Source organism: Homo sapiens, chromosome 9 (genome assembly GCF_000001405.40).
Source record: "Homo sapiens chromosome 9, GRCh38.p14 Primary Assembly".
Classification (NCBI taxonomy): domain Eukaryota; kingdom Metazoa; phylum Chordata; class Mammalia; order Primates; family Hominidae; genus Homo; species Homo sapiens.
In genome coordinates, this window is record NC_000009.12 from 79,438,492 (window position 1) to 79,453,283 (window position 14,792).

Consider the following 14,792-nt stretch of genomic DNA (forward strand, 5'->3'; position numbering starts at 1 on the left):
TAACTCTTTTAGTGACTGCCATCTGCTAACATTAATTACAGGACACGTTTTCATTTCAGAGGTAAAATTTAAAATAAGTACATCTTCTAAATAATGAAATAAAATTTTTCATAAAAGAATCTATTTTTCATGCTAGACAATACTACTGTGCGTTAGCTACTTCAAGAGCTTTATCTCTGAGGATGAGAGGGGAAAAGTCATTCAACTTGCCCAAACTAATATATTATGTTATATTATTGTGGCTATTAAAATGCAAGAAAAAATAAGTAAAACTAGTCAATAAAACAGCATGGAAGGCCCCCAAACAAACCCTGGCACATGTAAGAATCATGCTATGGGAAAGACGGAATCATGAGGCAAGGGTAGTGAAAAAATTAAGCTGAAAAAACTAGTTCACTGTTTGGGAAAAAATTAAATAAACTTTTGTTTCTTACCATACACCAAAGTAAATTCTGGATACGTTAAAGATTTATATGAAAAGAGATGGCCGAATAGGAACAGCTCCGGTCTACAGCTCCCAGCGTGAGGGACGCAGAAGATGGGTGATTTCTGCATTTCCATCTGAGGTACCCGGTTCATCTCACTAGGGAGTGCCAGACAGTGGGCGCAGGTCAGTGGGTGCGCGCACCTTGCGCGAGCCGAAGCAGGGTGAGGCATTGCCTCACTCGGGAAGCGCAAGGGGTCAGGGAGTTCCCTTTCCTAGTCAAAGAAAGGGGTGACGGACGGCAGCTGGAAAATCGGGTCACTCCCACCCGAATACTGTGCTTTTCCGACGGCCTTAAAAAACGGCGCACCACGAGATTATATCCGGCACCTGGCTCGGAGGGTCCTACGCCCACGGAGTCTCGCTGATTGCTAGCACAGCAGTCTGAGATCAAACTGCAAGGCGGCAGCGAGGCTGGGGGATGGGCGACCGCCATTGCCCAGGCTTGCTTAGGTAAACAAAGCAGCCTGGAAGCTCGAACTGGGTGGAGCCCACCACAGCTCAAGGAAGCCTGCCTGCCTTTGTAGGCTCCACTTCTGGGGGGCAGGGCACAGACAAAACGAAAAGACAGCAGTAACCTCTGCAGACTTAAATGTCCCTGTCTGACAGCTTTGAAGAGAGCAGTGGTTCTCCCAGCACGCAGCTGGAGATCTGAGAAGGGGCAGACTGCCTCCTCAAGTGGGTGCCTGACCCCTGACCCCCGAGGAGCCTAACTGGGAGGCATCCCCCAGCAGGGGCACACTGACACCTCGCACGGCAGGGTACTCCTACAGACCTGCAGCTGAGGGTCCTGTCTTTTAGAAGGAAAACTAACAAACAGAAAGGACATCCACACCAAAAACCCATCTGTACATCACCATCATCAAAGACCAAAAGTAGATAAAACCACAAAGATGGGGAAAAAGCAGAACAGAAAAACTGGAAACTCTAAAAAGCAGAGCGCCTCTCCTCCTCCAAAGGAACGCAGTTCTTCACCAGCAACCGAACAAAGCTGGACGGAGAATGACTTTGACGAGCTGAGAGAAGGCTTCAGACGATCAAATTACTCTGAGCTACGGGAGGACATTCAAATCAAAGGCAAAGAAGTTGAAAACTTTGAAAAAAAATTTAGAAGAATGTATAACTAGAATAACCAATACAGAGAAGTGCTTAAAGGAGCTGATGGAGCTGAAAACCAAGGCTCGAGAACTACGTGAAGAATGCAGAAGCCTCAGGAGCCGATGCGATCAACTGGAAGAAAGCGTATCAGCAATGGAAGATGAAATGAATGAAATGAAGCGAGAAGGGAAGTTTAGAGAAAAAGAATAAAAAGAAATGAGCAAAGCCTCCAAGAAATATTGCACTATGTGAAAAGACCAAATCTACGTCTGATTGGTGTACCTGAAAGTGATGTGGAGAATGGAACCAAGTTGGAAAACACTCTGCAGGATATTATACAGGAGAACTTCCCCAATCTAGCAAGGCAGGCCAATGTTCAGATTCAGGAAATACAGAGAACGTCACAAACATACTCCTCAAGAAGAGCAACTCCAAGACACATAATTGTCAGATTCACCAAAGTTGAAATGAAGGAAAAAATGTTCAGGGCAGCCAGAGAGAAAGGTCGGGTTACCCTCAAAGGGAAGCCCATCAGACTAACAGCAGATCTCTCGGCAGAAACTCTACAAGCCAGAAGAGAGTGGGGGCCAATATTCAACATTCTTAAAGAAAAGAATTTTCAACCCAGAATTTCATATTCAGCCAAACTAAGCTTCATAAGTGAAGGAGAAATAAAATCCTTTACAGACAAGCAAATGCTGAGAGATTTTGTCACCACCAGGCCTGCCTTAAAAGAGCTCCTGAAGGAAGCGCTAAACATGGAAAGGAACAACTGGTACCAGCCGCTGCAAAATCATGCCAAAATGTAAAGACCATCGAGACTAGGAAGAAACTGCATCAACTAACGAGCAAAATAACCAGCTAACATCATCATGACAGGATCAAATTCACACATAACAATATTAACTTTAAATGTAAATGGACTAAATGCTCCAATTAAAAGACACAGACTGGCAAATGGGATAAAGAGTCAAGACCCATCAGTGTGCTGTATTCAGGAAACCCATCTCACGTGCAGAGACACACATAGGCTCAAATAAATGGATGGAGGAAGATCTACCAAGTAAATGGAAAACAAAAAAAGGCAGGGGTTGCAATCCTAGTCTCTGATAAAACAGACTTTAAACCAACAAAGATCAAAAGAGACAAAGAAGGCCGTTACATAATGGTAAAGGGATCAATTCAACAAGAAGAGCTAACTATCCTAAATATATATGCACCCAACACAGGAGCACCCAGATTCATAAAGCAAGTCCTGAGTGACCTACAAAGAGACTTAGACTCCCACACATTAATAATGGGATACTTTAACACCCCACTGTCAACATTAGACAGATCAATGAGACAGAAAGTCAACAAGGATACCCAGGAAGTGAACTCAGCTCTACACCAAGCAGACCTAATAGACATCTACAGAACTCTCCACCCCAAATCAACAGAATATACATTTTTTTCAGCACCACACCACACCTATTCCAAAATTGACCACATAGTTGGAAGTAAAGCTCTCCTCAGCAAACGTAAAAGAACAGAAATTATAACAAACTATCTCTCAGACCACAGTGCAATCAAACTAGAACTCAGGATTAAGAATCTCACTCAAAACCGCTCAACTACATGGAAACTGAACAACCTGCTCCTGAATGACTACTGGCTACGTAACAAAATGAAGGCAGAAATAAAGATGTTCTTTGAAACCAACGAGAACAAAGACACAACATACCAGAATCACTGGGACGCATTCAAAGCAGTGTGTAGAGGGAAATTTATAGCACTAAATGCCCACAAGAGAAAGCAGGAAAGATCCAAAATTGACACCCTAACATCACAATTACAAGAACTAGAAAAGCAAGAGCAAACACATTCAAAAGCTAGCAGAAGGCAAGAAATAACTAAAATCGGAGCAGAACTGAAGGAAATAGAGACACAAAAAACCCTTCAAAAAATTAATGAATCCAGGAGCTGGTTTTTTGAAAGGATCAACAAAATAGACCACTAGCAAGAATAATAAAGAAAAAAAGAGAGAAGAATCAAATAGACGCAATAAAAAATGATAAAGGGGATATCACCACCGATCCCACAGAAATACAAACTACCATCAGAGAATACTACAAACACCTCTACCCAAATAAACTAGAAAATCTAGAAGAAATGGATAAATTCCTCGACACATACACTCTCCCAAGACTAAACCAGGAAGAAGTTGAATCTCTGAATAGACCAATAACAGGATCTGAAATTGTGGCAATAATCAATAGCTTACCAACCAAAAAGAGTCCAAGACCAGACGGATTCACAGCCGAATTCTAACAGAGGTACAAGGAGGAACTGGTACCATTCCTTCTGAAACTATTCCAATCAATAGAAAAAGAGGGAATACTCCCTAACTCATTTTATGAGGCCAGCATCATTCTGATACCAAAGCCTGGCAGAGACACAACAACAAAAAAAAGAATTTTAGACCAATATCCTTGATGAACATTGATGCAAAAATCCTCAATAAAATACTGGCAAAACGAATCCAGCAGCACATCAAAAAGCTTATCCACCATGATCAAGTGGGCTTCATCCCTGGGATGCAAGGCTGGTTCAATATACGCAAATCAATAAATGTAATCCAGCATATAAACAGAGCCAAAGACAAAAACCACATGATTATCTCAATAGATGCAGAAAAGGCCTTTGACAAAATTCAACAACCCTTCATGCTAAAAACTCTCAATAAATTAGGTATTGATGGGACGTATTTCAAAATAATAAGAGCTATCTATGACAAACCCACAGCCAATATCATACTGAATGGGCAAAAACTGGAAGCATTCCCTGTGAAAACTGGCACAAGACAGTGATGCCCTCTCTCACCACTCCTATTCAACATAGTGTTGGAAGTTCTGGCCAGGGCAATTAGGCAGGAGAGGAAATAAAGGGTATTCAATTAGGAAGAGAGGAAGTCAAATTGTCCCTATTTGTAGACGACATGATTGTATATCTAGAAAACCCCACTGTCTCAGCCCAAAATCTCCTTAAGCTGATAAGCAACTTCAGCAAAGTCTCAGGATACAAAATCAATGTACAAAAATCACAAGCATTCTTATACACCAACAACAGACAAACAGAGAGCCAAATCATGAGTGAACTCCCATTCACAATTGCTTCAAAGAGAATAAAATACCTAGGAATCCAACTTACAAGGGATGCGAAGGACCTCTTCAAGGAGAACTAGAAACCACTGCTCAAGGAAATAAAAGAGGATACAAACAAATGGGAGAACATTCCATGCTCATGGGTAGGAAGAATCAATATCGTGAAAATGGCCATACTGCCCAAGGTAATTTACAGATTCAATGCCATCCCCATCAAGCTACCAATGCCTTTCTTCACACAATTGGAAAAAACTACTTTAAAGTTCATATGGAACCAAAAAAGAGCCCGCATTGCCAAGTCAATCCTAAGCCAAAAGAACAAAGCTGGAGGCATCACACTACCTGACTTCAAACTATACTACAAGGCTACAGTAACCAAAACAGCATGGTACTGGTACCAAAACAGAGATATAGATCAATGGAACAGAACAGAGCTCTCAGAAATAATGCTGCATATCTACAACTATCTGATCTTTGACAAACCTGAGAAAAACAAGCAATGGGGAAAGGATTCCCTATTTAATAAATGGTGCTGGGAAAACTGGCTAGCCATATGTAGAAAGCTGAAACTGGATCCCTTCCTTACACCTTATACAAAAATCAATTCAAGATGGATTAAAGACTTAAATGTTAGACCTAAAACCATAAAAACCCTAGAAGAAAACCTAGGCATTACCATTCAGGACATAGGCATGGGCAAGGACTTCATGTCTAAAACACCAAAAGCAATGGCAACGAAAGACAAAATTGACAAATGGGATCTTATTAATCTAAAGAGCTTCTGTACAGCAAAAGAAACTACCATCAGAGTGAACGGGCAACCTGCAAAATTTTTGCAACCTACTCATCTGACAAAGGGCTAATATCCAGAATCTACAATGAACTCAAACAAATTTACAAGAAAAAAACAAACAACCCCATCAAAAAGTGGGCGAAGGACATGAACAGACACTTCTCAAAAGAAGACATTTATGCAGCCAAAAAACCTATGAAAAAATGCTCATCATCACTGGCCATCAGAGAAATGCAAATCAAAACCACAATGAGATACCATCTCACACCAGTTAGAATGGCAATCATTAAAAAGTCAGGAAACAACAGGTGCTGGAGAGGATGTGGAGAAATAGGAACACTTTTACACTGTTCGTGGGAGTGTAAACTAGTTCAACCATTGTGGAAGTCAGTGTGGCGATTCCTCAGGGATCTAGAACTAGAAATACCATTTGACCCAGCCATCCCATTACTGGGTATATACCCAAAGGACTATAAATCATGCTGCTGTAAAGACACATGCACACGTATGTTTATTGCAGCACTATTCACAATAGCAAAGACTCGGAACCAACCCAAATGTCCAACAATGATAGACTGGATTAAGAAAATGTGGCACATATACACCATGGAATACTATGCAGCCATAAAAAATGATGAGTTCATGTCCTTTGTAGGGACATGGATGAAATTGGAAATCATCATTCTCAGTAAACTATCGCAAGAACAAAAAACCAAACACCGCATATTCTCACTCATAGGTGGGAATTGAACAATGAGATCACATGGACACAGGAAGGGGAACATCACACTCTGGGGACTGTTGTGGGGTGGGGGGAGGGGGGAGGGATAGCATTGGGAGATATACCTAATGCTAGACGATGAGTTAGTGGGTGCAACGCACCAGCATGGCACATGTATACATATGTAACTAACCTGCACAATGTGCATATGTACCCTAAAACTTAAAGTATAATAATAAAAGAAAAAAAAACTTAAAAAAATATTTATATGAAAAGAAGGAAAATCATAAAATAATTAGATCATCTCTGGTTGCCAAATGGCTGTCTAAGTGTACTAGCAAAAGAAGAAATAAATATGGTAACACAAAATTAAACACTTCTATACATAGCAAAAGGCCAGTGACAAATAAAAATATGTTTGCCACATAAATATAAAATGATAGGTTAATATTTTTAATATATAAAGAGCTCTTACGTTTAATAATAAACATATAACCCATAGAAAAATGGATCAGAGAAATAAACAGTAAATTCACAAAAATGCATGGTAATAATAAGTAATAATGAGAAAAGTTAAATCTCAACAATTTTTTAAATGCAAGGTAAAATTAAAACAAAAGTTAAGTATTTTTCATCCATCAAGGTATTTAAAAACCAAATCCAATAGCCACCATAAATGAGAATGTAAAATGAATAGTCTCATTCTCTGCTATAGGGTTGTAAATCAGTCCATCTTTCCTAAAGCAAAATTTAGATACTATTCAAATGTATGTTTTCTTTAACAAAATTACCATTACCCTATACTTTCAAGAATTTATCCTGAATAACAATTTAGCTATGTGCAAAGAGATTTATATGCAAACATATTTATCACAATATTATTTTTGATACTTAAAAAATCAGAATCAATCTATCTGTGCAAAACTAAATAAATAGTTAAATCTGTTATTATAAACCTTTTGATGGAATAATGTATAAGCATCACAGCTTGTCTTTTGTAGACTTTATAATGACAGAAAGATGATATAATGTCTAGTGATAAAATCATGACACAAAACCTTATTCAAAAGGAAATATTTTTAAATGTTGGCAGTACTTACACTGTATAGCAGTTAATTTTGATTTATTTCTGATACTTTTCTATGCCTAACCAAGATTTCTACAATAGCATTATGTTTGTAACCAGGAAGTGAGGGAAAAAGAGAGAACTTTGGTCAACATAATAAAAAGGCAAGAGCAATGCAGTTTTTTAAATCAGATAGTACAGATGCTAAAAGACGTCTCACACACATTGTTACATACAATTGTGATTTATAATTGTTTTCTGTGCTTGAAAAGATAAGAATGTTGTAACTATGCTTTGGATCATGAAGAGTAAAAACCCAATATTTTATTGGTAAGAGAAAATTCAATTTAAATATATATTTGTATAATTTCACATTATAACTGCTATGTACTTTTGCATTATTTCATAATGCAACATTTTGAAATGAAAATTAGCAGTCTATTTTATGCTAATCAAGGACTCTTGTTATCTAAAGGTTAAGGAAGCACCCAAATAAAAATAAATAAAGGCATTTTTCATCAGAAAAGACTGGATATTTTCTTCTGATTCAGAATATAGCCAAATTGACACATAACTATAGATAATTTTTACAATAAACCAAATTCTTTCAGCATCATAATTGAGAATACACCACTGTGTACAGAACTGAAATGATCATACCAAAGTTCTTAGAAAGTTGTCTCTAAGACAGATTAGAGAATAAATTCGTCATCTTTATGGCTATGGCTTTTTCACCCCGTTCCTCCAAGGTACTCCAACTCTGATTACCTTCTCCAGGATGAAGGCAAGAGTCAGCCTACATACTCATTAAAGTGGAAGATATTTCAAACAGCCTGCCACTTTCATCAGCTTGCTATGAGAAACAAAATTTATTTCACTTTTTACTAGATCCCTAACACACAGAGGGAATTCAAAATGTCTCCCTGGAGACTGGAGGTTGAACACTTAGGTGGTGTTTTACTGTACTATCTGACTGTGAAAAACAGTATTTTTTTCTATGGGCATGGAAAGCCGAATGCACAATTCACCTTTGATTGATGGGTTTATCAACAGTCACGTAGCAGTTACATAAGTAGTGTAGCTTCCCCAATTGTTTTATTAAATGGCAAATACTGTGGAAGGAAAAATGTCATTTCTAGCAAATATGAAACTTTTAAACTATTTCAAAGTAAAGGAAAATTGAGTGGCAGTTTACCCAGCTCTCATGCTGCAAGATTTAACACACTAAACTTTTTTCCAAAGCTACACAATTTTAAAGTGATGTCTGTCTGATTTAATGTGTTTAAGCAAAAGGATTTCCCAAAACATATCTCATTTGAAACCGCTATCCCAGTGGCAGTAAAAATGGCATCAATTACAGAAATGTTACCAACAACAAAAACATTCAATTCACCAACAAAGGTCAGCAGTAAATCTCTCTAAAATATGTACAGCTCATAAAACTAATGGGTTTGCAACTGTGATTGAAACAGATGTTCATAAAATCAGCATTTAAACATGAAGATACTGTAAAATAAATGAAGATGAGATTAATTTAACAAGTTAATTCCAAAGCTGAATGGGGAAGAAAATTAACAGAAAGGCATACAACTCGAAGTGAGACGCATCGCATTGTAATCAAAGAAAAGAGTACTGCAGTGGGCTAACAAACTGGAGTGCATAGGAAGAACTTTGTGTAAGGAGTGATTTGAATCTAGCATTCTACCTTATACTGTTTTATTGGGAAATTACTTTGCATTCTCAGGTTATAGCAATATAACTTTAAAAGATAAGGGCATTTGGTCAGTTTCCTTTCTTCATCACTTGGAAATAGGGGAGTCATGTGAACTAATTCTAGTTTTACCAAAACCCCCACGAAAACGAAAAAAATTCTAGGATCATTAACAACTATTATTTTCAAATGCCAAGTTTGGGGGTGCAAAGGCAACAGTGGAGTTCCCAGAACACCTACGGAATGTTTAAAAATTTATTTCCCAAACAGGTGTGAGCAATTATGCAAGCATCATAAACATGTGCCTATAGCCTGGCTGAGAATAGCCTCCCTGTTTGCATTTTGTTTCTACAAATCAAAGGATGCTGCGAGGGTCATTTCTGGGGCAGAGAAGTTGCACGCTACTTTACATATCCACACACAAAGCACCACCCTGAACCCGGAGGCATTTCCCATTATCCTCTTGGGTGTGAAGTAAATCTTGAAGGACTTCTTAAGTGTGCTCTCACCACTCTAAGCAGCAGGCAGAATTTGGGTGGCCTTGCCGTGCTCCAGCCTCCTGCTGTTGGCTGCAATCTTTCTTGTAGACGCTGATGAAGGGCATGAGGGCAACTCTGACTTTAAATCTTCATAAAATAAAGACAACTGTGACTGAAGTTTAGTTTGGCCTGCTTACATAAGTGAAACAGGGCCACAGTGTTTTGCACACATTTTCTGCCCTCAGAAAAAGAGGACAAAGAGGTTAGCACTGCACTGGGGCGAAAGGACTCGGCTCCTCGGCTAGGTTATGGGGAGTTTTGGTTGTAATGAAAATAGATTTCATACTAAAATAATCTTTTTAGTGCTGGCTATAGGATCGGCTCATCTGAAGAGTAGAAAGTTAACTCTTGATGAAACAGTAGGGGTCTTTCTTTGTGACTTTTGACATAATTCACCAAACAGCTCAACTTGACCAAATCAATTGGTGTATATATAAACCCTTAAACAATTAGATGCCTTTCTTTAAACAAAAGCCAGCTGTATAAGCATCCACTAATTAGCCATGTTGCACTTCTTGAGTTCTTTTGTTTTATTGACTCATCTCTTCATGCATATTATGGCCATATAGTTGAGTTCATTAAGACTGAGCATAGCACATGCCTGTAATCTCAGCACTTTGGGAGGCCGAGGCGGGTGGATCACTTGAGGTCAGGAGTTCGAGACTAGCCTCGCCAACATGGTGAAACCCCCATCTCTACTAAAAATACAAAAATTAGTCGGATGTGGTTGTGGGTGCCTGTAATCCCAGCTACTCGGGAGGCTGTAGCAGGAGAATTTCCTGAACCCGGGAGACGGAGGTTACAGTGAGCCGAGATCACACCATTGCACTTCAGCCTGGGTGACAGAGCAAGACCCCATCTCAAAAAAAAAAAAAAGAAAGAAAAAGAAAAGCAGAATAGTATTCTTATCTTGCTGGAGGAAAATAAGTATATTTGAAAAAATCTGAAAATAGTTTTCTTTTAAACAAAATATGTATTTGTTCGTATTAGAAAACATTTTTGCTGATTTTGAAATTAGTATGGGTTTATTATAATTTGGAACATTTAAAATTGCAGAAAGAAAAAATGTTAATTAACCTAGAATATAACCACCCAGAGAAAATTACTACTAACATTTATAAATAAACTTTTTATTTTAACATAGTCTTAGATTTACAGAAAAATAGCCTACACTCAATTTCCCTTATTATCTTACATTAGTATAATACACATATTTATTACAATTAATGAACTCACATTGATACATTATTATTAATTAAAAGTCCATACGTTATTCATACTTCTTTTGTTTTTACCAAATGCTCTTTGTCTGTTCTAGGAGCCCATCTAAGATATCACATTACATTTAGTTGTCTTGTCTCCTTGGGCTCTTCTTTAGCTGTGACAGTTTCTTACTTCCCTTGTTTTTTTTCTTTTTGGTTTTTAGATTTTTTGAGATGGAGTCTCATTCTATCGCCCAGGCTGGAGTGCAGTGGCACGATCTCAGCTCACTGCAATCTCCACCTCCAGGGTTCAAGAGATTCTCCTGCCTGAGCCTCCCGAGTAGCTGGGATTACAGCCGCAATTCACCATGCCCAGCTATTTTCTGTATTTTCAGTAATGATGGGGTTTCACCATATTGGCGAGGCTGGTCTTGAACTCCTGACCTCAGGTGATCCGCTGGCCTCGGCCTCCCAAAGTGCTGGGATTACAAGCGTGAGCCACTGTGCCCGGCCACTTTCCTTGGTTTTGATGACCTTGAGAGGTTTGAGGAGTCTGCTCACGTATTTTGTGCAGTGTCCCTCAGATGAGATTTATCTGATTTTTTTTCACCGTTACGCTAGAATTACTTATTTAGGGGAGGAGAAACACAGAGGTGAAATGCCATTTTCATCATATTGCATCAAGGATATATATGTCTTCAACATGACTCACCCTATATCAGCACAATAAGGTTAAGGTCTTCATTTATTAGTGAAGACTGACAAACACTACCCTTTTTCCCCACTTCCATACTGTTCTTTTTGGAAGGAAGTCACCATGCACAGACCACATATGAAGAATGGGAAGTTATGCTATACTTTCTTGAGGGCAGAGTCTCTACATAAAATAGTTGAAATTATTCTGCATGGAAAATTTGTCTATTCAACTACTTTTTAAATTTATTCAATAATTTATTTATATCCATCTCAATATAAATGGACTCATGGATATTTATTTTATACTTTAGGTAATAATATTATACTAGTTTATTTTCTTGAACAAATTGTTCCAGCTTTGGACATTGGGAGTGCTTTCAATTGGCTCCTATGATCCTTTAAACATCCCCATCACTGTGAATAGGTTTTTTATTTGTAGGTTTTGTTATGGTTGTTTTGTTATTATTTTTGCTAACTTATTTTCTTGGTTCCAGGCTCATCTTGAATATTTCCAGCCCAGTTATGGAGTAAGCCATTTCTCCCAGTTATCCTGGTTCCTTTGATTGGAGAATATTAGAAACCTATACCATGGTGCTAATGCATTTGTTGCTAAAGGATTGTCTTTCTTTGAGACCCTGTTCAGCTGACAGAGCAAGGAAATATATGTGTGTGTGTGCCAGATGATGTATATACACATATCTCTAGATATCTCTTTATGTAATAACTATGTCTATATTCAGCTAAACATGAGTTTATGTCTCTAACTCTAATCCATTACCATATAAATCATTCTAGCCTCATCCCCTTAATTCTCTGTAACCTCCCACTCCAGCAATGAGAAAACAGGCTGACACTCTCCATTTACTTAGTAGTTCCTCTGCAGTGTACACATATAGTGGTATCACAATTGTTAACTCATACCTTCTTGAGAAAAAATCTTTATCAAATAGAGTGCAATACTTATGTACAGCTTCTTTTGAATTTAGTCTTATAAATGCACAAAGCATTTCCCCCTACACACACACACACACACACACACACACACACCCCAAATTCGGTAAGGTTGTGTCATAGGTTTGTGATGCAGTTAGATTGTTTTGTCACATTCTGCATTTCATCCTGGAATATCCCAATTTTCTAAAAGAGTTTTTTAAACTTGCATTCATTAAGGTTTATTCTTTATGTTTTATGGATTTTGATGAATGCGTAGTGTCATGTATTCACCATCATAGTATCATAAAAATAATTGTGTACCACCCTAAAAAATTCCCTGTACTTCACCCATTGAACTCTCCCTCTTTCCTATCAAGCCACTGGTCACCTATAATTTACTACTTTTATAGTTTTGCCTTTTCTAGACTATTACATAATTGGATGAGGACAGTATATAGCTTTTTCATGCTGTTCCTTCAATGAACAGTATGTATGTAAAATTCTTCTATGTCTTTTCAGGGCTTGATAGTTAATTTCTTCTTATTGAAAATTATTTCATTGCCACGGTGCACCACAATTTGTTTAATTCACGTATTCATTCATCTTGATTTCTTCCAGTTTTTGGCAAACATGAATAAAGCTACTATAAACGTTCACATACAGATTTTTGTGTGGATCTAAGTTTTTTCATCAGTTGGGTAAATATTTAGGAACACCTTATCCCATTGTAAAACTATGTTTAGCTTTGTAAGAAATTGTCGATCTGTCTTCCAAAATGACCATACTATTTTATATTCCCACTAGCAATGAATGAGAGTTTATGTTGTTCCATATTTTTGCCAGCAGTTGATACTGTCAGGATTTTTTTTATTTTAGTCATTCTGATATTTATATAATAGTGATTGTTTTAATTTGAAATTTTCTTATGATAAATGATGTTGAGCATCTTTAAATATTATTTGCCATTTATATATCTTCTCTGATGAGGCACCTCCCCCCACCCAAATTTTTCTCTTCTATAGTCCTACTTTGGCTAACTTGGATTTTTTTGTTTTATATAAATTGTAGAATCAGTTTGTCAATAGCTACAAAAAAGAGTAATGGGATTTTTATTGGGGTTGAGTGAACTATGTAATAAGTTGGAAAAAAATTGACATCTTAACAATATTTAGTCTTCCAGTCTATGAAGACAGAACATTTCTCCATTTGCTTAGATCTTTTTCATTTCTTTCATCATAAGTTTATAGTTTTCTGCATATAGACTCTGTATTTTATTTGTACCTAAATATTTTATATTTTTGGTAATTGTAAATGACATTTGTTTTCAGTTTCAAATTCCAATTGATTATTACCAATATAAAGAAAAACAACTGACTTTCATATTAACCTTGTATCCTGAGACCTTGCTATATTTGTTTATTAGTTCCAGGAAAGTTTTTTGTTTTGTTTTTGTCAATTCTTTGGGATTTTCTATATAAATAATCAAGTCACCTACAAACAAAAAGACATTTTATTTCTTCCTTCCCAATCTGTATGTTTATTTCCCTTTCTTGTCTTATTGCACTAGCTAGTACTTTCAGTACAATGTTGAACAGGAGTAGTAGAAAGGGACTTCCTTGCCTTGTTCCTGATCTTAGAGGGAAAGTATTCTGTTTTTTATCATTAAGTACCATGTTAGCTATAGAGTGTTTAATAGATGTTCATTATCAAGTTGAGGAAGTTCCTTTCTATTCCTAGTTTGCTGAGAGTTTTTATCATAAATGTATGTGAATATTGTCAAATGCTTTTTATGCTTCAACTGATGTGATCGTAAGATTTTTCTTTAATCTGTTGATGTGGTAGATTACACCGATCAGTTTTTCAAATGTTAAATCAGCTTTGCATACCTGCAATAAGTTCAACTTGTCAGGGTATATAATTCTTTTTATATATTCTTGGATTAGATTGGCTAATATTTTGCTAAGAATTTTTGTGTCTTAGTTCAAGAGAGTCTATCGTTTGTTGTATTTTATTCATCTGGTTTTTGTATCAGGGTACTGGTGCCTAATAAATTAAGTTTGTAAGTGTTCCCTCCTCTTCAACTTTCTGGTAGAATTTTTATAAAACTGGTATTATTTTTTCCCTAAATACTTGGTAGAATTTACCAGAAAACCATTTGTGCCTAATTTTGAGATTTTTTTTTAAATATGGTGCAATATAAGTGTGCAAGTTCAGTGTTTTAAATATAGCTCATTAGTTTTCACAGCATGACTTCCTTCATGAAATGATCTTGGCATCCTTGCTGAAATTTAGTTAACCATAGAAACATTGCTTTATTTCTGGATTCTTTATTTTATTTTATTGATGTATATGTTTATTCTTATGTCAGTATACACAGTCTTAATTACTATTGCCTTCTAGACCTTT

General features: G+C 37.0%; 2 annotated features.

Moving 5' to 3' along the window:
- Nucleotides 226-800: an enhancer, noted in NCBI's record as "H3K27ac-H3K4me1 hESC enhancer chr9:82053632-82054206 (GRCh37/hg19 assembly coordinates)". NCBI's record gives its function as "activates a minimal SCP1, AML or CMV promoter by ChIP-STARR-seq in primed H9 embryonic stem cells {active_cell/tissue: H9 hESC(primed)}" and the evidence as "EXISTENCE:reporter gene assay evidence [ECO:0000049][PMID:30033119]".
- Nucleotides 801-1,375: an enhancer, noted in NCBI's record as "H3K27ac-H3K4me1 hESC enhancer chr9:82054207-82054781 (GRCh37/hg19 assembly coordinates)". NCBI's record gives its function as "activates a minimal SCP1, AML or CMV promoter by ChIP-STARR-seq in primed H9 embryonic stem cells {active_cell/tissue: H9 hESC(primed)}" and the evidence as "EXISTENCE:reporter gene assay evidence [ECO:0000049][PMID:30033119]".